The following is a 27,063-nucleotide window of genomic DNA, read 5'->3' on the forward strand; positions in this document are numbered from 1 at the left end:
GCCATATGCAGATGATAGAGAAGAGCAGTGGCCTCTGGTCTCCCAGGTGCTGGGGCTCCTTTTGCCAAATGGTACTATGAATATAGCCAAGGGCCACTCAATAAAAAAAGAGAATGCGATAGAGGAGGTGGAGCAAGATGGGCAAATAGAACCCTCCAGTGATCATCCCCCACTGCAGGAACACCAAATTGAACAACTATCCACACAAGGAAGCACCTTCATAAGAACCAAAAATCAGGTGAGTGATCACAGTACATGGTTTTAACTTTATAACCCTGAAAGAGGCACTGAAAGATATAGGAAAGAAAGTCTTGAATTGCTGACACCCCTCCTTTCCCATCCCCCAGCAGCCGCTGCACAGTGCAGTGAGATAATCTGTGCACTTAGGGGAGAGAGAATGCAGTGATTATGGAATTTTGCTTTGGAACTTCATGCTTCCCTGTCACAGCAGAAAGCAACACAGGGCAAAATTTAGCCAGTGCTCAAAGAGGGAGCATTTAGACCAGCCCTACCCAGAAAGGAATCATCCATCCCAGGGATAAGAACCTGAGTTCTGGCTAGCCCCACCTCTGGGTGTTAAAGCACTCTGGGGTCCTAAATAAACTTAAAAAGCAGTCTAGGCCACATGGACTGCAATTTCTGGGCAAGTCCTGGTGTTGTGCTGGACTGGAAGCAGTGGACTTGGGGTGCACATGATCTAGTGAAACACAAGCTGGAGTGGCCAAGCGAGTGCTTTTGTCACCCCTTCTCCAACCCCAGGCGGCAGATCTTCTGCCCCAGAGAGACTCCTTCCTTCTGCGGAGGAGAGGAGAGGGTAAAGAAGACTTTGTCTTGTAACTTGAATGCCAGCTCAGCCACAGCAGAATAGGGTACCAGGCAGAGTCCTGGGGTCCCTATTCCAGGCACTAGACAACACCTGTAGACATACCCTGGGCCAGAAAGAAACCCACTGCATTGAAGGGAAGAACCCAGTTTTGGCAGGATTTATCACCTGCTAACTAAAGAATAAGTGGGTACCTTGAATAAGTGGTACCCAGGCAGTACTTGCGTGAGGCCTTGGGTGAGACCCGGGGCGTGCAGGCTTCAGGTGTGATCCAGTGCGTTTTACACTGTGGTGGCCATAGGGAGAGACTCCTTCTGCTTGAGAAAAGGAGAGGGAAGAGTAAAGGGGACTTTGTCTTGCAGCTTGGGCGCCAGTGCAGCCACAGTGAGGTAGTGCACCAACTGGGCTCCTGGAGTCCATGATTCCAAGCCTTGCATTTTAGATGGCATTTATGGACCTTTCTGGGACAGAAGGGAGCGCATTGCCCTGATGGAAAAGACCCAAGACTTACAGCATTCACCACAAGCTGACTGAAGAGCCCACGGGTATTGAGTGAATATTGGCAGTGCCAAACAGTACTTGCCATGGGCCTGAGGTGGTGGTGGCCTGGGGGAAAGACTCCTTCTGCATGAGGAAAGGTGAGGAAAGAGTGGGAACAACTTTGTCTTGTGTCTTGGGTGCCAGCTAAGTCACAGTAAAATAGAACACCAGATAGATTCCCATGTTTCCCCACTCCAAGACCAGGCTCCTGGACAGCATTTCTGGACCTGCCCTGGGCCACAGGGGAGCATACTACCCTGAAGGGAAGGACACAACATTGGATGGATTTGCCACCTGCTGACTGAAGAGCACTTGGACCTTGCATGAACATTGGCAGTAGCCAGGCAGTGGTTGCCACAGCCTTGGGTGAGACTCAGTGTTGCGCTGATTTCAGGTTTGACACAGCACAATCCCAGTGGCGATGGCCACACAAGTGCTTGGTTATCCTCCCTGCCAGCTCCAGGCAGCTTAGTATGGAGACGGAGACTCTGTTGATTTGGGGGAAAGTAAAAGAGGAGAACAAGAGTCTTTGCCTAGTAATCCAGAGAATTATCCCAGATCTTACTCAAGACCACCAAGGTGGTACCTCTACAAGTGTGCAAGAGACACAGCATTGCTAGGCTTGGGGTGCCTTATAATGCAGATAGGGCAGCAATGACCAAAGATTTAGATCACAACACTCAATTCCCCTTGAATACCTAGGAAGCTTTACCAAAAAGGACAGATACAAACAAGCCTGAAGTGTAAAGACTACAATAAAAACCCAACTCTTCAATGCCTAGACATGGACAAACATCCACAAGCATCAAGACCATCCAGGAAAACATGACCTCACAAAATGTACTAAATAAGGCACTAGCAACCAATCCCTGAATGACAGAAATATGTGACCTTTCAGACAGGGAATTCAAAATAGCTGTTTTGAGGAAGCTCAGAGAAATTCAAGATACCACAGAGAAGGAATTCAGAATCCTATGAGATAAATTTAACAAACAGATTGAAGTGATTTTAAAAAATTAATCAGAAATTGTGGAGCTGAAAAATTCAATTGACATGAGGAAGAATGCATCAGAGTCTCTCAACAGCAGAATTAATGAAAGAAAAGAAATAATGAACATGAAGACACACCATTAAAAAATACAGTCAGAGAAGACAAAAGCAAAACAAAGAATGAAGCATGCTTACATGATCTAGAAAATAGTCTCAGAAAGGCAAATCTAAGAGTTATTGGCAATAAAGAAGAAGTAAAGAGAAGTAAGGGTAGAAATTTTATTTGGAGGGATAATAACAGATAACTTCCCAAACCTAGAGAAAGATATCAATATCCAGCTACACGAAGGCTATAGAAAACCAAGCAGACTTAATCCAAATAGGACTACCTCAAGACACCCAATAATCAAACTCTCAAAGGTCAAGAATAAAGAAAGGATCTGAAAAAGCAGCAAGAGAGAAAAAGCAACACAAAATGGAGCTCCAATATATCTAACAGCAGACTTCTCAGTGGAAATTTTACAGGCCAGAAGAGAGTGGCATGACACATTTAAAGTGCTGAAAGAATAAAACTTTTATCCTAGAATAGTATATCCAGCAAAAATATTCTTCAAACATCAAGGAGAAATACTTTCCCAGACAAACAAAAACCGAGGAATTTCATCAATACCAGACCTGTCCTACAGGAAATGCCAAAGGGAGTTCTTCAATCTGAAAGGAAAGGACATTAATGACCAATAAGAAATTATCTGAAGGTACAAAACTCATTGGTAATAGTAAGTACAGAGACAAATACAGACTATTATAACACCAGAATTGTGGTGTACAAACTACTTATATCTTGAGTAGAAAAACTAAAAGATGAACCTATTGAAAATAATAACTACAACAAATTTTCAAGGAATAGATAGTATAGCAAGATATAGATGGAAACAACAAAAAGTTAAAAAGCAGGGAGAAAAAATTAAAGTGTAAAGTTTGTGTTAGTTTTCCCTTTGCTTATTATTTCACTTTTGCAATCAGTGTTAACTTGTCATCAATTTGAAATAATGTTGTTATTTGCAAGATAAGATGTTATTTGCCATCCTCATGGAAAACTCAAATTTAAAAAAAAACCTGTTACAAATATATAAAAAACAAAAAGCAAAAAATTAAAACTTAGCACCAGATAAAACTACCTTCACTAAAAAAAGACAAGAAGAAAGAAAAGAAGGAAGAGAAAGACAATGAGAAAACAAATAACAAAGGGCAGGAGTAAATCCCTACTTATCAATAATAACATTGAATATAAAGGGACTAAACTCTCCAATAAAAAGACATAGAATGGATTGATGATCTGTTAATTACAAGAAACACACTTCAACTATAAAGGCACACATAGAGTGAAAATAAAAAGATAGAGAAAGATATTCCATGGAAAACCAAAAAAGAGCAAGACTAGCTCTGCTTATGTCAGACAAAACAGATTTCAAGACAAAACCCATAAAAAGAGACAAAGGTCATTTTATAGTGGTAAAAGGGTCAATTCAGCAATAGGATATAATAATTGTAAATATATATGCACTCAACAGTGGAGCACTCAGATATATAAAACAAAAGTTATTAGAGCTAAAGAGAGAAATAGACCCTAATACAATAATAGCTAGAGACTTCAACACTCTACTTCCAGTATTGGACAGATCATTCTGAAAGAAAATCAACAAAGAAACATCAGACTTAATCTGTACTATAGACCAAATGGACCTATCAGATATTTACAGAACATTTCATCCAAGTGCTGCAGAATACACATTCTTCTCCTCAGCACATGAATCACTGCAAAGGATAAACCATATGTTAGGCCACAAAACTAGCCTTAAAACAAAAAAAAATTAATTATATTAAATACTTTCTGTGACCACAATGAAGTAAAACTAGAAATCAATAACAAGAGAAACTTTGGAAACTATAGTAACACATGGAAATTACACAATATGTTCCTGAATGACCAGTGGGTCAAGAAGTCATTAAGAAAGAAATTGAAAATTTTATTGAACAATGCCCATCAATGACAGACTGGATAAAGAAAATGTGGTACATATACACCATGGAATACTATGCAGACATAAAAAGGAATGAGGTCATGTCCTTTGAGGGACATGGATGAAACTGGAAGCCATCATCCTCAGCAAACTAACTCAGGAACATAAAACCAAACAATGCATGTTCTTATCCATAATTGGGAGTTGAACAATGAGAACACATAGACACAGGGAGGGGAACAACACACGCCAGGGCTTGTTGGGGGGTGGGGTCGAAGGGACAGAACTTAGAGGACAGGTCAGTAGGTACAGCAAACCACCACGGCGCATGTATACTTACGTAGCAAACCTGCACATTCGGCACATGTATCCTGGAACTTAAAGTAAACTATATTTTTTTAAATCCCCACTTGTACCTTACCTTCTAGTCACAATTTTCAAAAATAGATTTTCATAATTAAAAAAAAGAAAATTTTATTGAGTCAAATGGAAATGGAAACACAATATATAATATATATAATACCAAAATCTATAGGATGCAGGAAACCGTACTAAGAGGAAAGTTTATAACAATAAGTGCCTATAATAAAAAAGTAAAAACAATATTTTACAATAAAAAAGTAAACAACCTAATGATGCATCTTAAAAAACTAGAAAAGCAATAGCAAGCCAAATCCAAAATTAATAGATGAAAGGGAATAATAAAAATCAGAGCAGAAATGAGACTGAAACAAAAAATACAAAAGATCAATAAAATGAAAAGTTAGTTTTTGAGAAGATAAGCAAAATTGACAAATCTTTAGCAAGTCTAAGGAAAAAAGAGAGAAGACCCAAATAAATCAGAGATGAAAAAGAAGACACAACAACTGATACTGCAGAAATTCAAAGGTTCATTAGAGGCTAATGTGAACAACTATATGCCATGGCTCTGGAAAACCTGTAGAAGAAATGAATAAATTCCTAGACACGTAAAACTACCAAGAATGAACCATGAAGAAATCCAAAACTTGAATAGGCCAATTATAAGTAAAAGAAAAGCTGGGGACCTGATGAATTTTACCAAATATTTAAAGAAAAACTAATACCAATCCTACTTGAACTATTCTGAAAATAAGAGAAGGAGGGAATACTTCCAAACTCATTCTACAAGTTCAGTATTGCCCTGATACAAAAACCAGATAAAAACATAAAAAAAAGAAAACTACAGGTCAATATCTCTGATGAATATTGATGCAAAAATTCTCAACAAAATACTATCAAACTGAATACAGCAATACATGAAAAAGATCATTCCATCATGACCAAGTAAGATTTATCCTAGGAATGCAAGGATGATTCAATATATGCAAGTGAATCAAGGTGAGGCATTATACCAAAAGAATGAAAGACAAAAACCATATGATCATTTCAACTGATGCTGAAAAAGTATCTGATAAAATTCCACATCCCTACATGATAAAAACCCTAAAACAAAAACTGAGTATAGAAGAAACATACCTTAACACAATAAAAGTCATATACTACAGACCCACAGTTAGTAGCATACTGAATAGGTAAAACTAAAATCCTTTCTTCTAAGATCTGGAACACAACAAGGATGCCCGCTTTCACACTGTTATTCAACATAGTACTGGAAGTCCCAGCTGGAGCTATCAGACAAGAGAAAGAAATAGAGGGCATCCAAATTTAAAAGGAAGAAGTCAAATTATCTTTGTTTGCAGATGATATGCTCATTTATTTGGACTCCACCCAAAAAATATTAGAACTGATAAAGAAATTTAGTAGTATTGCAGGATACAAAATCAACATACAAAAATCAGGTGTATTTCCATGTGGCAACAGCAAGCAGTCTGAAAAAGAAATCAATAAAGTAATCCCATTTATAATAGCTACAAATAAAATAAAAACTATGAAACATTGAGGCAAGAAATTGAGAGGACACACAAAAAAAAGGAAAGGTATTCCACGGTTACGGATGGAAATATCTGTGCCACCCAAAGCAACCTACAGAATCAATGCAATTCCTGTCAAAATACCAATGACATTCTCCACAGAAACAGAAAATAATCCTGAAATTTATATAAAACCATAACAGACCCAAAAAAAGCCAAAGCCATTCTGAGCATAAATAAATAAATAAATAAATAAATAAATAAATAAATAAATAAATACTGGAGAAATCACATTACCTGGCTTTAAATTATACTACAGAGCTATACTAACCAAAACAGCATGGTACTGGCATAAAAACAGATACATAGAACACTGGAACAGAATAGAGAACCCAGAAACAAATCCACATACCCACAGTGAACTCATTTTTGACAAAGGTGTCAAGAACATACACTGGGAAAAAAGCCTCTTTAATAAATGGTGTTGGGAAAACTGGATATCTGTATGCAGAAAAATGAAACTAGATTCCTATCTCTTGTCATATACAAAAATCAAATCAAAATGAATTAAATACTTAGATCTAAGATCTAGAACTATAAAACTACTAAAAGAAAACTTAGGGAAATTCTCCAGGATATTAGTCTGGGCAAAGATTTCTTGAGTAATACCCCACAAGCACAGGCAGACAAAGCAAAAACGGACAAATGGATTGACCACAAGTTAAAAAGCTTCTTCACAGCAAAGGAAAACAATTAATAAAGTGAAGAGACAACATACAAAATAGGAGAAAATATTTGCAAGCTATCCATCTGACAAAAGACTAATAACTAGTGTATATGAGGAGCTTAAACAACTCAATAGGAAAACATTTTTTAAATGGGCAAAATATCTGAATGGATATCTCTTAAAAGAAGACATAAATGTCAAACAGTTATATAAAGGTGTGCTCAACATTATTGATCACTGGAAAAATACAAAGCAGAACTATAATAAGATATCACCTCACCCCAGTTAAACTGGCTTTTAACCAAAAGATAGGCAATAAAGAATGCTGGCAAGGATGTTTAGAAAAGAGAACTCTTGTACACTGCTGGTGGGAATGTAAATTAGTACAGCCACTATGGAGAACAGTATGGAGGTTCCCAAAAAAACTAAAACTAAAACTACCATACAATCCACTGCTAGGTATATACCCAAAAGAAAGGAAATCAGTATTCCAAAGAGATATCTGCAGTCTCATGTTTATTGCAGCGCTATTCACAGTAGCCAAGATTTGGAAGCAACCTAAGTGTCCATCAACTGATGAAGGGATTAAAAAATGTGGTACATATACAGAACAGAGTACTTACTATTCAGCCATGAAAAAGAATGAGATCCTGTCATTTGCAACAACATGATTGGAATTGGAGGTCATTATGTTAAGTGAAATAAGCCAGGCACAGAAAGACAAACTTCACAAGTTCTCACTCATTTGTAGGAGTTAAAAATTAAAACAGTTGAACTTCATGGAGCTAGAGAGGGGAATGATGGCTACCAGAGGCTGGGAAGGGTGAAAGGGTGGTAAAGTGGGGATGGTTAATGGGTACAAAAATATAGTTAGGTAGTGTAAATATAATATAGTATATAGTTAGTATAAATAGTATAGTATAAATAAATAGTATAGTATATAGATAATATAAACATTATCTATATTGTGATAGCACAACAGGGTGACTACACCCAGCAATAATTTATTGTACATTTTAAAATAACTAAAAGAGTATAACTGGTATGTATGTAACATAAGGAAAGGATAAATGCTTAAGGTGATGGATACCCCATTTTCCCTGATGAAATTCTTATGCTTTGTATGCCTGTATCAAAATATTTCATGTACCCCATATATGCACCTACCAAAAAAGTAAAAAGCAAAACAGGTGAACAATGATCTAAACAAGAGTCCCAACCATGATAAGATGATGCTGAATTTTTTCCTTTAAAAAAGAATGGTGGAATATCTGTCATCCCAATGACGTATTTCTGGCTGTCACCAGTTCTCCAAGTATGAAAATCTTTATGGTGCCAAACCTAAATGTCATTTGCCCTAAATATTTAAGAGCAACAACTGGGGAACAGTGAGATATGATCATACCATAGCACTCCAGCCTAGTTTAGAGAGCAAGACCTCATCGAGAGAGAGAGAGAGAGAGAGAAAGAGAGAGAGAGACTGCAACAACCGGACACATACCTCAGTTGCAGGAGAGCTGAGGATGGAGACCCTGCTGGGCTACGAAAAAGCCCAAGTGATGGTACCTGGGAAGGCCTATGGCAAAGTGGAACTCAGCAATAGGCAGTAACATGTCCACAAATATTACTGTTCTTCCCAACCACATTACACCTCCCTTTTCCAATCCCATAAGCCTACTTTACCTGCCCTCCATGGCTAAATGTTGAGAAGACTCCCCGCCATAAGCTTATATAGAAATTAATTTGCAAGTATTTAGTGAGCACCTACTATGTATTCGTCACTATTCCAGGAATCAAAGGAGGATATCAGAGAAAAATGAGACAGTCCCCTATCCCAAGGAAGACCCAAGCTTGCTGTAAAGACAACATCACATAATTACCCAATATTATAAAACATATGAATCAGACCTAATTTATAGATTCAAGATGAGAAGGGAGAAATCTAAGTTTCACAGCAGTAATGGTATGCTTCATGGAGGAACTGGACTAAGCTGATCCTAATACCGCATTTCTATTCCTGAAACTGTGAAGTGAAGCCTGGGTCCCTGACCTGGAGGGTTAGCCCACCATGACACAGTGGGTGATTATGATCATACCCTTTTATTCCTGACAGACCTGGTTCCAATCCCAATTCTTCCTATGTTTGTAGATTCAGAAAAGTCATTTAATCTCCTTGAGTCCCGGTTAATTCATCTATGAAATGGTACTAAGGGCCTAATGTGTTCAAAGTCTTACATTAAAGCCTGGCATATAACAGGTGCTCAATCCATGGTAATTATCATTATTTGAAGTCACTTCAATATATGGAAGGATGAAGCTTTTCCCGTGATATTTTAGTCAAAGTTCAATTGTATATCTGAAATCATTAAAAGTTGCATCAGACCTTCAAATTTTATTTCAAGGCAGTGGTGCCCAAGCTTTGTTGAACATTTGAATGACCTGGGAATCTTTAAACTATACTGATGCCTGGGCCCCACCCCAGACATTCTGACTGCGTTGATCTGGGGTGTAATCTTGGCATTGAGATTTTTTAAACTCCCCAGCTGACGCTTATGTGCAACAAAGTTTAGGAACCACTGTTTATGGCAAAATTCCATCTCCTGTTCCACAGAAGGTTCTGAGAGCAGCAGACCAAGAAGCAAGTAGGGAACACACTTCTTGACATGTTGCCTTATTTATTGTATTAATCGGGGTTCTCCAGAGGAATAGAACCAATAAAATACACATGTGCACATACAGACACATACACACACACACACACATATACGTGTGTGTATCTATATACACATAGAAAGAGAGAGGTGATTTACTATAACGAGTTGGCTCACATGATTTTGGAGGCTGAAAAGTCCCCAAATCTGCAGTTAGCAAGCTGGAGAAAAGCCAATGGTATAGTTTCAGTCTGAGTTTGAAGGTCTGAGAATTAGAATGTTCAATGTTGCAGTGCCAGTACGAAGGCTGAAAAAAGAAATAACGTCCCAGCCAGAAGGCAGTCAAGTAGGAGTTCCCTTTTACTCAAAAAGGGGTCAACTTTTATGTTCTCATCAGGACTTAAAGTGATTGGATGTGGCCCACCCACACAGGGAGCCCATCTACTTCACTCAGTCTACTGATTCCAGTGCTAATCTCATCCAGAAACACCCTCACAGACACACTTAGAATAATGTTTGACCAAATATCTGTGCACTTGTTACCCAACCAAATTGGCACATAACATTAACTATCACGTGTATATTGTATCTCAGGCATCCAGCACATTCCTACGCACAAAATTGTGCAAGGGACATTCTATGAGCCAAGGAGGGATAGAGTCAACGATTCTTAGTTGTGATCCCTCAGAGAGAACACACATGCAAACGCAGACACACAAACACACCCCAAAAGTATGCATCTACCAAAACAAGCCATATAAAGAACATTTTTAGCTTATTCCTTTCATTTTAAAGGCAAGGAAACAGGCCCAGAGAGGTAAAGTGACTTTCTCAAAGTTACACGTCAAATTAATGACTTCTCTAGAACTAACACTCAGGACTCTAGAATTTAAGTTCAATGCCAGTACAATGTTGTTTGTCATTTGTATGACCCTGCCTGTGATCCTGTAGGCCTCAGACATTCTAAAACCCCTTCTTCCTTTTGCCAAACCCTGTGTGATGAGGAGCTAACAGCCATGTGGCATGACTCTTCATGTCCTTCCAAATAGCAGAACCAGCCTTCCAGGGGGCAATGGTTCATTGTGGATCTAAAAGTACGTATTTTGAGAAGGAACGCAAAGTAGTTGGGAGGCAGATTCATAAGCTAATTGTTTTGGGCTTATTACAATCAATATCAGTTGCCCCAGGCCAAGGCTGCCTTTGCCTTGTCAGGCTGCTGACATTTTGTGCTTGGTCACCCAGCTCCTTGCTCCAAAGTGATACATTATTGATTTTCCTCCTGTCCCATTAAGGCCACCCTTTCATCTCCCCAGGGATAGATGATGCTTTTGCACACAGCTTGCATGTGCCCAGACTCCTTAGTGGGAAAGGCTATATAGGATGAGAAGGTTACCTTTGCAATTTCACACCCTCAGATTCTGTCTGCAGCTGAAGAAAATCCACTGTCACACAAATCATACTACCTGAATTTCCTAAATGCCCTTTTTCATCTTCCCCCATATGTCAACATTTTTTAAACTCAGAAAAAACATTTCTGCCTCCTCCCTGGGTTCCAATCGATGCTGGCCTTCAAACATATAAGGTGAGTTTTTTACCCATCTCTCTCTCTCCTGAACAGTGGGGGATGTTGGGAAAATCCTGGGATTTAAGGGATGACATACCTGGGCTCAAGACATGGCTTCCCCATTTACCCAAATGATGACCTTGGAATCCTTCTTTGAGCCTTCATCGCTTCATCCTTGAGAGAGGAAATAATAATACCTGCCCGATCACTTTATAAAATATTTAAATGAGATCACATGTGTGAAGCACCGAGTCTGGAACACAGTACGTGTCAATGCCTCATCCTTTTCTATTTCTCCTGCTGTCTCTTGGGAGACTGGAAGACTGTGGCCTCCCCAAGGTAGGGGCCACTCATTCCTCATCTTTGTCCCTAGCATCACATTTGGCACAGATTAATGTTTGGGGAATTGAGGACAACAAGGCAGATACACTTTTATAGATAATGACACTGCCTCTTAGAGAGATTCAGTGCCTTGTCCATGCCAAGACCACTGATAGAAATGAGTCTGTTAAGTTCCAGCATTTTGACTCTTTGTCTCATCTTTCATTCACTAAATCTTGGTGCCTTATGTTCACTCCAAAACAATCTGAACGCAACAACTATGCAGACTAAGTGTGTGGTTACTTCCTGACTTTTCCTCAGAGTTAACTAGTTCCAGCCTCTGTTTAATGGTAAACATAGATTTCCACCATAATCCGTACTGGCCCCACCTCTTGTCACCTGCAGCTGTCCTCTTCAACCTTCCCATAGCACAGCCTTCCTAGTTACCAGCAAATGGGAATTTGAAGCAGAAGGTGTTGAAATCATCTCAGCCCACCTCCACGTTACACAGACTTGAGACCCAGGGCTTTTGGGCTTCCATGCCAAGTTTCCAGCTGCAGTTTAGCCTCTTTTCAAACAGCAATTCTTTCGCCAAATGCTTCCACATGCTTCAGTTTCAGGTGTTAATTCTACCTTCTAAATTCTTGTTCTGAATATCAGCCCAGTGGCCAGGCTTCACTACCCAAGAGCTGCCAGCCTGTGGTCTGAATTTGCAAGTGTCTCCTGCATGCTTTCTCATTATTGGCTTCACCCACCTGCTTGGGTCCCTGGTATTGCACCAGCTGGCAGCCCCTGCTGGTGGTGACTGATGTCATAAACCACTACGAGAGCTAGTTGCTTCCCCCCAGACTCTTCTCTGTTGTCAACCAGATTGCCACTTAGCCTTGGTCCAGTTCCCAGTCCCCTCCCCATCTGTAGAGTCTGCCTGCCAGCACACTGCTATGACTTTCTTTTCATAAAATACTGCTTTTATTTATGAGTAGATCTCCTTTACCACATCACCATCTATAAAATACACACTTGCCCCTTCATCTCAACAATGACATTTCCTCATAGTCTCTTCCTACAGTCTTTAATAAATAAGGACTGCATAATACAAGGGAAAATACAGGATTAAAGAAGATAACAAGAAAAAATTCTCCTTCAATCCTCACAAAATCCCATATGCCTTATTACAGATAACTGATGTCAATAAGTCATGTTAATATAATGGTCGAACAATATTTTTTTTCTCCAGGCTTCTGGAGTTGCTCCCCACTGTCCGTTGATAGACTAGGTGTATAAACACATATTTAATTGCTTAATAAGGGCAAGGCCAAGGAAAGAGTGAAGTATATCAAGCTTTCTACTTGTGGCTTATTTGGTTTACTCCTCACAAGTCCTCACTATCATGACATTTAGCCAGAAATCAAAATATGTTCTCAGTATTTCTGAAGTTGGCATTCCTACAGTTAGAATCATGATGCTGGAAGATGTGGGGTTCTCCAGAGCAGGACCCATCCTAAAGTAAAACATATTTTGAGCACACGCCCTAAGCCCAGCCCAAAATGAATTTCAGCATGTGGTTCAATTCTGAGCAAAATTCCGGTGAAAATGCTATCCTTCTTTATTAAATAGGAATGGTAGCCAGGTGCAGTGGCTCATACTCATGGTCCCAATGCTTTGGGAGGCCAAGGCAGGAGAATTGCTCGAGTCCAGGAGTTTGAGACCAGCCTGGTCAACATGGCAATACCCCATCTCTATGAAAAATGCAAAAATTAGCCAGGCATAGCACAGCTGCACACCAGTTGCCCCAGCTACTCAGGAGGCTGAGGTAAGAGGTCAGGAGGTCAAGGCTGCAGTGAGCTGTGATTGTACCACTGCACTCCTAGGTGACAGAGCAAGGCCATGTCTCAAAATTAATTAATTAATTAATGTAATATGAATGGCTTGATTAGAGAGGGAGTGGGACCCTCAATCTTGTCAACCATGAGAGAAAACACCACCCAAGAGCAAATCAGGACCTCAGTAGCAGAGCATGGGCAAACTTACCCCTTGAACTCTTAGTCATCTGCCTGGAGCCAAGGCACCACATACTACCGAGCAAGCGCGTGTGAGAACCCACAACCTCCATCCCTGTTTTACCTGCAACACTAACCTCAGGAGGCAATTCACTCCCTGTTTTACCTGCAACACTAACTTCAGAAAGCAAATCACTCCCGAGGCAAGTCATTCCTGTCTGATAGTTCCCAAACATCCCTATCTGCCACGTTTTCTTGAAACCCAGAGACTCTGTTCCAGTGGATGGAGGCAGCCAGCTAGTCTACAGCTGCATAGTGTCAAACAATTTCCCCCTTCTGGTCGAGCTTTCACCTACGTGACAGTGTGAACAAAACTAAAGGCATTAGCACTACTCTCAGTTACTATCATTCAAGGTTTCTGGTCTCAACACATCATTCATAGGTTATGATGTACTCATGATCATGTATTTCCTTGAGTTTTTGTCATTCCAATAGAAGAGAGGCCATCTGATGTTTGACTGATGGGCTGTGCAAACATTTAAAAATTTTTTAGAGGACACAATGCACCAGGGAGACTAGTATTACGACTATCTGGAGAATACTATCAAGATTTTGAGATATGCTTCTTAGCTAGGGTACCAGTAAATCAAACCAACTAAAAATGAATAGATCAAAGAATGAGCCAGATGAGGGGTGGACCCATTTTAACCAAATAACCTGTTTGTTAATTTTTGTAATTGGGTCTCAAAATTACCCATATATTTTTTTCCTGTACAACAAGAAATGTTAGCAATTGCACAGATTTCTCCCTATCTAGCCAGTACGCATCAATTCTTTTATCTAGCATTGCATGACTTGGTTAAAGTAGGGAGGGGCAATTTGCAGGTTACCTGTAGAAGCTAATGATTGTCAAAGTTTAACTACAGCATTATCCTGCCAACTGAAAGAGATAGGCATAAACAAGGGAAAATTAAGAGGGTTAAAAGTCTCATATCATGGAGTCCTGTTCTGACAGTCTTGGGAAAAGCTCTCCACTGCATGAAGTCAGCAACTTCTCCTGGTTTGCAGTTTGTATGTTTCTGATTATGGCATCAGGCATTTTGGTGAATTCTCTGTGTGGCCCATACATCAGGCATGAGCTTTGCCTCTTGAAATTTATTAAGTTGGCCTTATGGGCTTTATGAACAGAGTAGTTTTTGTTCTTAGTTGGAGAATCATAGCCAGATATTAGAGGAAACTAGAATTCAGAATCAAATTCAGTCTACAGGCAGAAAATAAAAACTTGAAAGCAATGAACTTGGCTACAATTGAATAACAGATGTAACACAGTTTTCTTCTAAAATGTAATTTTTCTCTCTATAGTCACTACCATTTCTATAAAAGATAATCAGAGTAAGACTAATTTGTTTGCAAATTAAGTTTAGTTTCATTAAACTTGGCCTATTTATTCACCTAAGTGCAGCATGCATAATCACATAGTTTCCTTTTAAATTTTCTTTGCTGGAAATTTTGACAAGGAATCTCAAATTAGACTTTTAAAAATCTCTTGACACTAGGAAGCCAAACCAAAGCAGATCAGACCTTGCCTGAAGTATCTAATATCTTGAGGTTCCTGGGCCTGCCAGAAAGTGACAACTTTTTGTTCACTCACTGTAATGGTGGGAACACTTAAAGCTAGGCATTTTATGTACATTTTCAAATATGACATTCCAGTCAAAGCCTCTATGATATAACCAATGTTTCCAATTGCATCCTCTTATAAAGAGAGGAAATTTTTGTGAACTTATATAAATAGCCATATTGCCATCATAATAAGAACATTCACAAATAATTTAAAAAAATTTTGAGGGGGCCAGGCATGGTGGCTCATGCCTGTAATCCCAGCACTTTGGGAGGCTGAAGTGGGCAAATCATGAGGTCAGAAGTTTGAGACCAGTCTGGCCAACATGGTGAAACCCCGTCTCTACCAAAGATAACAAAAAATTAGTTGGGTGTGGTGGTGCATGCCTGTAATCCCAGCTACTTGGGAGGCTGAGTCAGGAGAATTGCTTTAACCCGGGAGGCAGAGGTTGAAATGAGCCAAGATCATGCCATTGCACATTGGAGGGACTGGGTAAGAAAGAAAAGCAAATGTCTCATTTTTATTTGGAAAAGTATTATTTACCAAACTGCTATAAGCCATTGATAGTTTAAAAGAAAAAAAACAATACTTTCCTTAAGTCTGGAAAGCAAAACATTGAGAGAGCTAGCAATGTTTTAAATTAAAAAGTTGTAAAAACCCATAATTCTTCCTCATCAGTTCATTCAGTCTCATGTAATTAATTCTTGCTGTGTTTGATCTTCGTTAACAGTTTCACGAATTCATTTGTTTCTTCATTAAAGTTCTCAAAATTGTTACTCAGTCCAGTGGTATCTCAAAGCAGTCAGATACCTGTACTTGTTAGTGTTCTTTCCATTCTTTCTATAAACCTCCTTAAAGGCACACATCTGAGAATTAGAATTACTTGCAAAAAGCTTTCAGAAAGCCACTGGAATAAAGCAATTAATTAAGGACAACATAACTTCAACTGGCTATGGTTAACAGCCTGATAAGAATTTGTTATAATAATAATGCAATTGACAAAGGAATTTGTTTAGTTCTGTGGCATACAACATGTTAACATAATAACCAAACAAGATTGATAACATAATTGATATCTACAAATATACAAATTCGGAAAACATATTAATAACAGCCATACAAATATAACTCAAATAAGCATAAATGTTATTTCTTCTTTGATAATGTTTTCTATATAATTTAACATAATTGACGGAGCCTAATTGGCTTAAAGTCTCTCTTTTGGACATTTAGGGGTTTTTCTAGAATGTCTAATAGTTAATTTGAGGTCAAAAATTCTTAATTTTAGAATTTGATTTTGGGAAGTTTGTTAAAAATATCAAAGGTTGAAAATGCTTGATTAAAATACAATCACTGGTCACTTTGCATCAGTGTATTTTGTCAAGACCTAATCAGTACAACAAGATATAAATAGAAACAATAAAAAGTTAAAAAGCAGCGGGACAAAAGTAAGGTGTAGAGTTTTTATTCATTTTCTTTTTGCTTGTTTGTTTATGCAAATAATGTAAAGTTGTTATCATATTAAAATAATGGATTATAAGAGTATTTGTAAGCCTCATGGCAACCTCAAACCAAAAACCATACAATGGACACACAAAAAAAATAATAAGCAAGAAGTTAAATCATATCACCAGAGAAAATCACCTTCTCTAGAGGAAGACAGAAAGGAAAGAAAGAAGGAAGAGAAGACCACGAAATAACCAGAAAACAAATAACAAAATCACAGGAGTGAGTTCCTACTTATCAATAATAACATTGAATGTAAATGGACTAAACTCTCTAATCAAAAGACATAGGCTGAATGGATGAAAAAACAAGATCCATAGATTTGTTGCCTACAAGAAACGTACTTCACCTGTAAAGATACACATAGACTGAAAATAAAGGGATGGAAAAAGATATTCCATGCAAATGGAAACCAAAAAAGAGCAGAAGTCACTATATTTATATCAGAGAAAAATAGAACAGGTCTGGTGTTGATGAAATCCTTCAGCTTTTGTTTGTCTGGGAAAATATTTATCCTTCATGTTTGAAGGACATTTTCACTGGATATACTATTATTCTAGGGTAAAAGTTTTTTTCTTTAGCACTTTAAATATGTCAGGCTATTCTCTCCTGGCCTGTATGGTTTCCACTGAAAAATCTGCTGTCAGACTTTTGGCAGCCAGACTATTGGAGTTCCGTTGTATATTATTTGGTTTTTTTCTCTTGCTGCTTTTAGGATCCTTTTCTTCTCCTTGATCAATTCTCCTATAAAAGGATTCTGATGTATTCTTCAGTATGCCAATTGCATTTTTCAGCTCCAGAATTTTGGCCTGATTCTAATTATTTCAATCTCTTTGTTAAATGTATCTGATAGAATTCTGAACTCCTTTTTGTGATCTTGAATTTCTTTGCATTACCTTGACACAGCTATTTTGAAATCTCTACCTGAAAGGTCACATATCTGTTTCTCCAGGATTGGTCCCTGGTGTCTTATTTAGTTCATTTGGTAAGGTCATGTTTTCGTGGATGATGTTGATGCTAACAGATGTTCTTTAGTGTCTGGGCATTCAGGAATTAGGTATTTATTGTAGTCTTACTATCTACACTTGTTTGTAGCCATCCTTCTTACAAAGGTTTTCCAGATATTTGAAAGGACTTTGGTATTGTGATCTAAGCTGTATCTGATTTATGGGGCACCCCAAGCCCAGTATCACTGTGGTTCTTCCAGGCTTGTAGAGGTACCATCTTGATGGTCTTAGACCAGATCTGGAAGAATTCTCTGTATTACCAGATAGAGACTCTTGTTCTCTTCTCCTACTTTCTCCCAAACAAATGGAGTCTTCTCTCTATTCTGAGCCACATAAAGCTGGGAATGAAGTGTCACAAGCACCCCTGTGGCCACCACCACTGTGACTGCAATAGGTCAGACCTGAAACCCAAGGCCTGCTATAACCATTCCCTGGCTACTGCCTATGTTTGCTTAAAGCCCTGAGGCCCTACAATCAGCAGGTGACAATGTCAGCCATGCCTGTATCCTCACCTTCAGGGCAGCAAGTTCCCCCAGGCCCAAGGTAGTTTCACAGGTGCTGTCTGAGAGTCAGAGACAAGAGTCAAATACCTTAGAAATCTACCTGGTGCTCTATTTTATTATGGCTGAGCCAGCACTCATACTAAAAGATGCAGTCCTTCCCACTCTTCCTGCTTCTTTCCGAAGGCAGAGGAGCTGCACCCTGTAACCAGTGCCACCCCAGGCCACAAGGAGTACTACCAGACTACCAGCCAATGGTCCTGTAAGGCCCAAGGGCTCTTCAGCCAGCTTGTGGTGAATGCTGCCTGGCATGGGACTCATTCTTCAGGGAAGTTGTCTCCCTTCTATCCCAGAGCAGGTCCAGAAATGCCATCCAAGAGTCCAGTTCTGGAATCAGGGACCCTAAGATCTTGCTTGGTTTTCTGCCCCCATTGCCATCATGGTACCTAAGGTGTAAGACAAAGTCCCCTTTATATTTTCCTTTGCTTTTCTCAAGCAGAAGGGGTTTTTCCCTGTAGCCACCAAAGCTGGGAATGTGCTGAGTCTCACCTGAAGCCAGCAAGTCTCAGAGGCTCACTTAAGGCTTTTGGTGTAGTACCTGGGTATTGCTGCTGGTTATTCAGGGCTCAAGGGCTCTTCAGTTAGCAGGTGATGAATGCTGCTGCCAGGACTAGATACTTTCCTTCAAGGCAGCAGGTCCCCTTCTGGCTAGGTTGTGTCTAGAAATGTCATCTGGCAGCAAGGCCCTAAAACAGGGGCCTCATGACTCTATCTGGTGCCCTACCCTGCTGTGGTTGAACTGGTTTCCAAGATGTAAGGCAAAGTCCTCCCCATCTCTTTCCTCTTCTCTCCTCAGGTGAAAGGAAGGGATCTCTTTTGAAGCCTTGAGCTGTGCAGCCTTGGGGAGGGGAGGGATGAGGCCAGCAGTCCCTAGATTGCCCCAACTGGTGTCTCAGTATGTCATGTTCACCCCTTGTCCATTGTCTCTGGGCCTAGTTTAGCACTAGGGCTTGCCTAAGAGTTACTTTCCTTATGGCCTAGGTTGCCTTTCAAGTTTACTTGGAGACCCAGTGCTGTAGCCCTCTGTGGTGAGGTTTGCAGACACTCAAGTTCTCACCACTGGGATCCATGATTCCAGTTTGGCTAGAGCTGGCTTAAATGTTCCCTCCATGGGGAGGTGACAGCTAGGTTTGGCCCAGTTTTACTTTCTGCTCTAACAAGACAGAAACTGAGTTCAACGCCTCACAATTGTTGTATCCTACCTCTCCCAGTACCCTGAGAGGCTCTCCGCACCACACTGCTGCTGCAGGTGGAAGGGAGTGACGTCAGCAATTACCGACTGTTTTTTCTATCTCTTCGTTGCCTCTTTCAGTGATACTGCTCACTTGACTTTTGATTCTAATGAAGGTGTTTTTTCTGTGTAGATAGTTGTTTACTTGTCCTTGTGGAAGGACAATCAGTTGAGCCTTCTACTTTGCCATCTTGTTCGGCCTTGGGAATCCATCTTAATTTAAGTCAACTTAATCACACAAGATTTTTTTATAAGATTCATTCTTCACAAACCTTCTACAATTTGCTTAGACTTTCAGTTTTGTCCTCTATTTCTTTTTCTTATCCTATTGGGACAACAAATCATTCTACCTTAGGACAAAAACTTGCTTCTCTTTTTTTCTTATTATTTTGACCACACAAACTTCTCTCATACAAAAAAATTACCCTCTTTCACTTTTCATTTTTTTCCTAAAATATACCCTCATACATAACTTTTTGCATCTCTTTCTTCTACTTACTGGTTTATTTGTGCCTTTTTATTTCCTTCTTATATTTATATTTTGAAATAACCTTTAAATAACCTCAAAATTAAGCAAAATTACTTTTTCCAACAAAAAATATATCTTTAAGTTTTTTTTAAATTTTTTATCACCAAAACATATCTTACTTTTTTGTGTACTTTGCATACAGAATTACATATATTAATTAAAATTTGTAACTCTTAGTAGCCTTTTTAGTGAAAATCTAAAAAGATTTTGAACTGTCATCTACAAGATTTTGCAAAATACATTTTGTAGGTTTTAGTAATATATGCTTCCTCATAGAAAAATTAATTAATGTAAAACAGCAATATTTACTGTCAGGCCTCTAAGCCGGAGCTAAGCCATTGTAACCCCTGTGACCTGCAAGTATACATCCAGATGGCCTGCAGGAGACAACAAGTCTGGAGCAGCCGAAAAACCACAAAAGAATTGAAACAGCCAGTTTCTGCCTTAACTGATTAACCAAACCTACAACATTCCACCATTATGACTTGTTCCTGCCCTACCCTAACTGATCAATCGAGGTTATGACATTCTTCTCCTGGACAATGGGTCTCATGATCTCCCCACCGTGCACCTTATGACCCCCTCCCCTGCTAGACAACAGACACCTTCAACTGTAACTTTCCACTGCCTACCCAAGTCCTGTAAAGCTGTCCCTCTCCTATCTTCCCTTCGCTGACTCTCTTTTTGGACTCAGCCCACTTGCGCCCAAGTGAATAAACAGCCTTGTTGCTCACAAAAAAGCCTGTTTAGGTGGTCTTCTATATGGACATGCATGACACTTGGTGCCAAAACCCAGGACAGGGGGACTCCTTCTGGAGACCTGTCCCATGTCCTTGCCCTCTCTCCATGAGGAGATCCACCTATGACCTCGGGTCCTCAGACCAGCCCAAGGAGCATCTCACCAATTTCAAATCAGGTAACTGGTCCTTTATACTCTCTTCTCCAGCCTCTCTTGCTACCCTTCAATTTCTCTCTCCTTTCAATTTCAGCTCCTTTTCCTCTCTAGTAGAGACAAGGGAGACACATTTTTTCTGTGGATTCAAAAACTCCAATGTCAGTCACGGACCCGGGAAGACAGTCTTCCCTTGGTGTCTGATCATTGCAGGGACAACTGCTTTGATCACTGACCCACATTCCATTGGTGTCTGATCACTGTGGGGACGCCTGCCTTGATCATTCACCCACACTCCCCTGGTGGCAAGCCGATTGCAGGGACAGCTGCTTTGGTTGCTCACCCACATTGCAGCCTAGGACTCAGTCAGGGACGCCTACTGAAAGCCTGGTAGCTGCCCACCTCCCCTTCTCTGTCTTTACCTTTCTCTTCAAATTTACCTCCTTCACTATGGGCAACCTTCCACCCACCATTCCTCCCTCTTCCCCCTTAGCCTGTGTTCTTAAAAATTCAAAACCTCTTCAACTAACACCTGACCTAAAACCCAAACATCTTTTTTTCTTCTGCAATACTGCTTGGCCCCAGTACAAACTCAACAGTGGTTTCAAATGGCCAGAAAATGGCACTTTTGATTTCTCCATCCTGTAAGACCTAGATAATTTTTGTTGAAAATTGGGTAAATGGTCTGAGATGTCTTACGTCCAAGCGTTTTTTACACTTTGTTCCCTCCTTAGCCTCTGACCCCAATGCGACTCACCCTAAATCTTTCTTCTTTCTCTCCTGTCCATTTCTTCAGTCTCTACCCCAACCTCAGAGTCCTCTGAATCCTTCTTTTCTTCAGACCCCTCTGACCTTTCTCCCCCTCCCAAGGCCACTCCTCAACATGCTGAATCAAGTTCCAATTCTTCCTCAACCTCTGCTCCCCCACCTTATAATTCTTCTATCATCTCCCCTCCTCACACTCGGTTCAGCTTACAGTTTCATTCCATGACTAGCTCTCGCCCACCTGCCCAACAATTTCCTCTTAGAGAGGTGGCTGGAGCTGAGGGCATAGTAAGGGTTCATGTACCTTTTTCTCTATCAGACCTTTCCCAAATCAGTCAGCATTTGGGCTCTTTCTCATCAGACCCCACTAAATACATATATGAATTCCAATATTTAACTCAGTCCTACAGTTTAATCTGGAGTGACTTAAACATCATTCTGACCTCTACCCTCTTCCCAGATGAGTGAGAAAGAGTTTATAACCTAGCCCAATCTCATGCTGACAACTGCTGGAGTCATGAGCCAGGCCTCCAAGAAGGCACCAGGGCAGTTCCCTGAGAGGATCCCTAATGGGAATACCAAACAGGCTCCAGAGGTACAGCTAGGTGAGATTGTATGGTCTCTCGCCTAGTTGAAGGGCTCAAAAAGGCAGCATAAAAAGCTGTTAATTATGACAAGCTTAAAGAAGCCACCCAAGGTAAGGATGAAAACCCAGCCCAGTTCATGGCCCACTTGGCAGCTACCCTTAGACGTTTTACAGCTCTGGACCCAGAAGGCCCAGAAGGCTGTCTCATTCTTAATATGCATTTTATTACCCAGTCTGCTCCCGACATTAGGAAAAAACTCCAAAAACTAGATTCCAGCCCTCAAACCCCATAAAAAGACTTAATTAACCATGCCTTAAAGGTGTTCAACAATAGAGAAGAGTCAGCAAAGCAGCAATGTATTTCAGAGCTGCAACTGCTTGCCTCCACTGTAAGACAAACCCCGGCCATGCCTTCAGCACACAAAAACTTCAGAACAACCAAACCACAGCCTCCAGGCACTTCTTTAAAATCTCCTCATGGACCTTGCTTCAAATGCCAAAAACTCAGCCACAGGGCCTCGGAATGCCCGCAGCCTAGGATTCCTCCTAAGCCTTGTCCTGTCTGTGTGGGACCCCACTAGAAGTCAGACTGTCCAACTAGGATTACAGCCTCTCCTAGACATGCTGGAACAAAAACCTCAGGTTCTCTGGCTGACTCCTTCCCAGATCTCCTCAGCTTAGTGGCTGAAGACTGACACTGCCTGACCACCTCGGAAGCCCCCTGGACTATCACGGACACTGAGCTTCAGGTAGCTCTTACAGTGGAGGGTAACCCTTTTTAATCGATATGGGGGCTACCCACTTCAAATTACCTTCTTTTAAAGGGCCTGTTTCCCTTGCCCCCATAACTGTTTTGGTTATTGACAGCCAGTCTTCTAAACCTCTTAAAGCTCCCCCACTCTGGTGTCAACTTGGACAATATTCTTTTATACACTCTTTTTAAATTATCCCCACCTGCCTACTTCTCTTATTAGGCTGAGACATTTTAACCAAATTATCTGCTTCCCTGACTATTCCTGGGCTACAGCCACACTTCATTGCTGCCTTTTTGCTCAATTTAAGGCCTCTTTTGCATCCTCCCCTTGTGTCTCCCCACCTTAATCCACAAGTATGGGATACCTCTACTCCTTCTTTGGCAACTGACTATGCACCCCTTACCATTCCATTAAAACCTAATCACCTTTACCCTGCTCATTGCCAGTGTCCCATCCCACAGCAGGCTCTAAGAGGACTGAAGCCTATTATCACTCACCTGTTACAACATGGCCTTTTAAAGCCTACAAATTCTCCTTACAACTCCTCTATCCTACCTGTCCAAAAACCAGACAAGTCTTACAGGTTGTTTCAGGATCTTCACCTTATTAATCAAATCGTCATTCCCATCCATCCTATAGTGCTAAACCTTTACACTCTCCTGTCTTCAATACCTGCTTCCACAACTCATTATTCAGTTATTGACCTCTAAGACACCTTCTTTACTATTCCTTTACATCCCTCCTCCCAACCTTTTTTCATCTTTACTTGGACTGACCCTGACACCCACCAGTCCCAGCAACTCACCTGGACTGTCCTACCCCAAGGTTTTAGGGACAGCCCATATCACTTTGGTCAGGCTCTCTCTCATGACTTACTATCTTTTTGCCCATCTACCTCCCACCTTATTCAATATGTTGATGACCTTCTTCTTTGCAGCCCCTCTTACCAATCCTCCCAGCAGGACACTATCCTACTTCTTCAGCATCTCTACTTGAAGGGGTACTGAGTATCCATCTCTAAGGCTCAAATTTCTTCCCCTAGTGTTACATATCTTGGCATAGTCCTCCATCAACATACATGTGCTCTTCCTGCAGACCACGTTCAGTTAATCTCCCAGACCCCAATCCCTACCACCAAGCAACAATTCCTTTCCTTCTTAGGCATTGTTGGATACTTCCAACTCTGGATACCAGGCTTTGCCATCCTAACCAAACCACTTTACAAGCTCACTAAAGGCAATTTAGCTGATCCCAAAGACCCTAAGTCCTTTCCTCATTCTTTCATTCATTCTCTCAAAAAGGCCTTAGAAACAGCTCCCCCAGCTCATCCCAACCTTTTTCCTTACACACAGCTGAAATACAAGGTTGTGCTGCTGGAGGTCTCACACAGGAGCCAGGCCCAAAACCTATAGCCTTTCTATCCAAACAACTTGACCTCACAGTTCTAGACTGGCCCTCATATCTACAAGTGGTGGTAGCTGCCACTTTAATACTTCTAGAGGCCTTCAAAATCACAAGCTATGCTCCACTTACCCTCTACAGTTCTCAAAACCTTCAAGTGTTAATATCCTCCATGCACCTTTCACACTTATTTTCTGCCCATCGACTCCTCCAGCTCTATTCACTCTTTATTGAAACCCCAATAGTAACTATTGCCCATGGTGTCCTCAAGCCTACACTTATAGAAATAGACAACAGTATGGGTATACGGGGCCAGTTCCACATATTCAGCCACCAGACCAGCATCCAGGACAACATAGAGTATGCCGTTGGTTGTTAGAAGGCTTGGGACATTTCTCCCTTTGCCAGCCGCAGCTTAATCCAGGAGACAAAGATTATTTTACTTATTATCTCTCCTGCATAGGATCTGCAATCAGAGCTATTGAACTTCTCCATTCAGACCGCCACTCGCACCTATGGGAAAAGGGTGATATAACAGATCATTGGCTTGACAACAGGAAATCCTATTCATATGATGGGAAATGGGGACAAAAAGCTTTGGTATGTAAAACATTATTCCTAAGATGGCTGAACAGGAACAGCTCCGGTCTGCAGCTCCCAGCATAATCAACACAGAAGACAGTGATTTCTGCATTTCCAACTGAGCCTCCACTGGTGATACCCAGGCAAACAGTGTCTGGAGTCGACCTCCAGCAAACTCCAACAGACCTGCAGCTGAGGGACCTGACTCTTAGAAGGAAAACTAACAAACAGAAAGGAATAGCATCAACATCAACAAAAAGGACTTCCACACCAAAACTCCTTCTGTAGGTCACCAACATCAAAGACCAAAGGTAAATAAAACCACAAAGATGGGTAGAAACCAGAGCAGAAATGCTGAAAATTCTAAAAATCAGAGCGTCTCTTCTCCTCCAAAGGATCGCAGCTTCTTGCCAACAATGGAACAAAGCTGGACAGAGAATGATTTTGACAAGCTGACAGAAGTAGGCTTCAGAAGGTCAGTAATAACAAACTTCCTGTTTTGTTCGAACCCATCATAAGGAGGTTAAAAACCTTGAAAAAAGATTAGGTGAATGGCTAACTAGAATAAACAGCATAGAGAAGACCTTAAATGAACTGATGGAGCTGAAAACCATGGCACGAGAACTATGTCATACATGCACAAGCTTCAATAGCTGATTCGATCAAGTGGAAGAAAGGGTATCAGTGATGGAAGATCAAATGAATGAAATAAAGCCAGAGGAGAAGTTTAGAGAAAAAAGAGTAAAAAGAAATGAACAAAGCCTCCAAGAAATGTGGGACTATGTGAAAAGACCAAATCTGCATTTGATTGGTGTACCTGAAAGTGACAGGGAGAATGGAACCAAGTTGGAAAACACTCTTGAGGATACTGTCCAGGGGGACTTCCCCAACCTAGCAAAGCAGGCCAACATTCAAATTCAGGAAATACAGAGAACACCAAAAAGATACTCCTCGAGAAGAACAATCCCAAGACACATAATTGTCAGATTCACCAAAGTTGAAATGAAGGAAAAAAATGTTAAGGGCAGCCAGAGAGAAAGGTTGGGTTACCCACAAAGGGAAGCCCATCAGACTAACAGCTGATCTCTCGGCAGAAACTCTACAAGCCAGAAGAGAGAGAGGGTCAATATTCAACATTGTTAAAGAAAAGAATTTTCAACCCAGAATTTCATATCCAGCCAAACTAAGCTTCATAAGTGAAGGAGAAATAAAATCCTTTACAGACAAGCACATGCTAAGAGATTTTGTCACCACCAGGCCTGCCTTACAGGAGCTCCTGAAGGAAGCACTAAACGTGGAAAGGAACAACCAGTACCAGCCACTGCAAACACATGCCAAATTGTAAAGACCATCTATGCTAGGAAGAAACTGCATCAGCTAACGAGCAAAATAACCGGCTAACATCATAATGACAGGATCGAATTCACACATAACAATATTAACCTTAAATGTAAATGGGCTAAATGCTCCAATTAAAAGACACAAACTGGCAAATTGGATAAAGAGTCAAGACCCATCAGTGGGCTGTATTCAGGAGACCGATTTCACGTTCAGAGACATACATAGGCTCAAAATAAAGGGATGGAGGAAGATCTACAAAGCAAATGGAAAGCATAAAAAAGTAGGAGTTGCAATCCTAGTCGCTGATAAACATACTTTAAACCAACAAAGATCAAAAGAGACAAGGACATTACATAACGGTAAAAGGATCAATTCAACAAGAAGAGCTAACTACCTAAATATATATGCATCCAATACAGGAGCACCCAGATTCATAAAGCAAGTCCTCAGAGACCTACAAAGAGACTTAGACTCCCACACAGTAATAATGGGAGACTTTAACACCCCGCAGTCAATATTAGACAGATCAACAAGACAGAAGGTTAACAAGGATATCCAGAACTTGAACTCAGCTCTGCACCAAGCTGACCTAATAGACATCTACAGAACTCTCCATCCCAAATCAACAGAATATACATTCTTCTCAGGACCACATCACACTTATTCCAAAATCGACCACACAGTTGGAAGTAAAGTACTCCTCAGCAAATGTAAAAGAACAGAAATCACAACAAACTGTCTCTCGGGCCACAGTGCAA

The 27,063-nt window shown here is 40.5% G+C and overlaps 1 long non-coding RNA gene across 1 annotated transcript in view, besides 1 other annotated feature; it reads right to left on the reverse strand.

Moving 5' to 3' along the window:
• The window catches only part of LINC02257 (long intergenic non-protein coding RNA 2257), a 64,876-nt gene that overhangs the window by 13,844 nt on the left and 23,969 nt on the right, over positions 1-27,063 (reverse strand). The window lies entirely within an intron of this gene.
• Positions 12,002-12,181: an enhancer, noted in NCBI's record as "active region_2573". NCBI's record gives its function as "activates an Ori minimal core promoter by ATAC-STARR-seq in GM12878 lymphoblastoid cells {active_cell/tissue: GM12878}" and the evidence as "EXISTENCE:reporter gene assay evidence [ECO:0000049][PMID:35858748]".

Source organism: Homo sapiens, chromosome 1 (assembly GCF_000001405.40).
Source record: "Homo sapiens chromosome 1, GRCh38.p14 Primary Assembly".
NCBI lineage: Eukaryota > Metazoa > Chordata > Mammalia > Primates > Hominidae > Homo > Homo sapiens.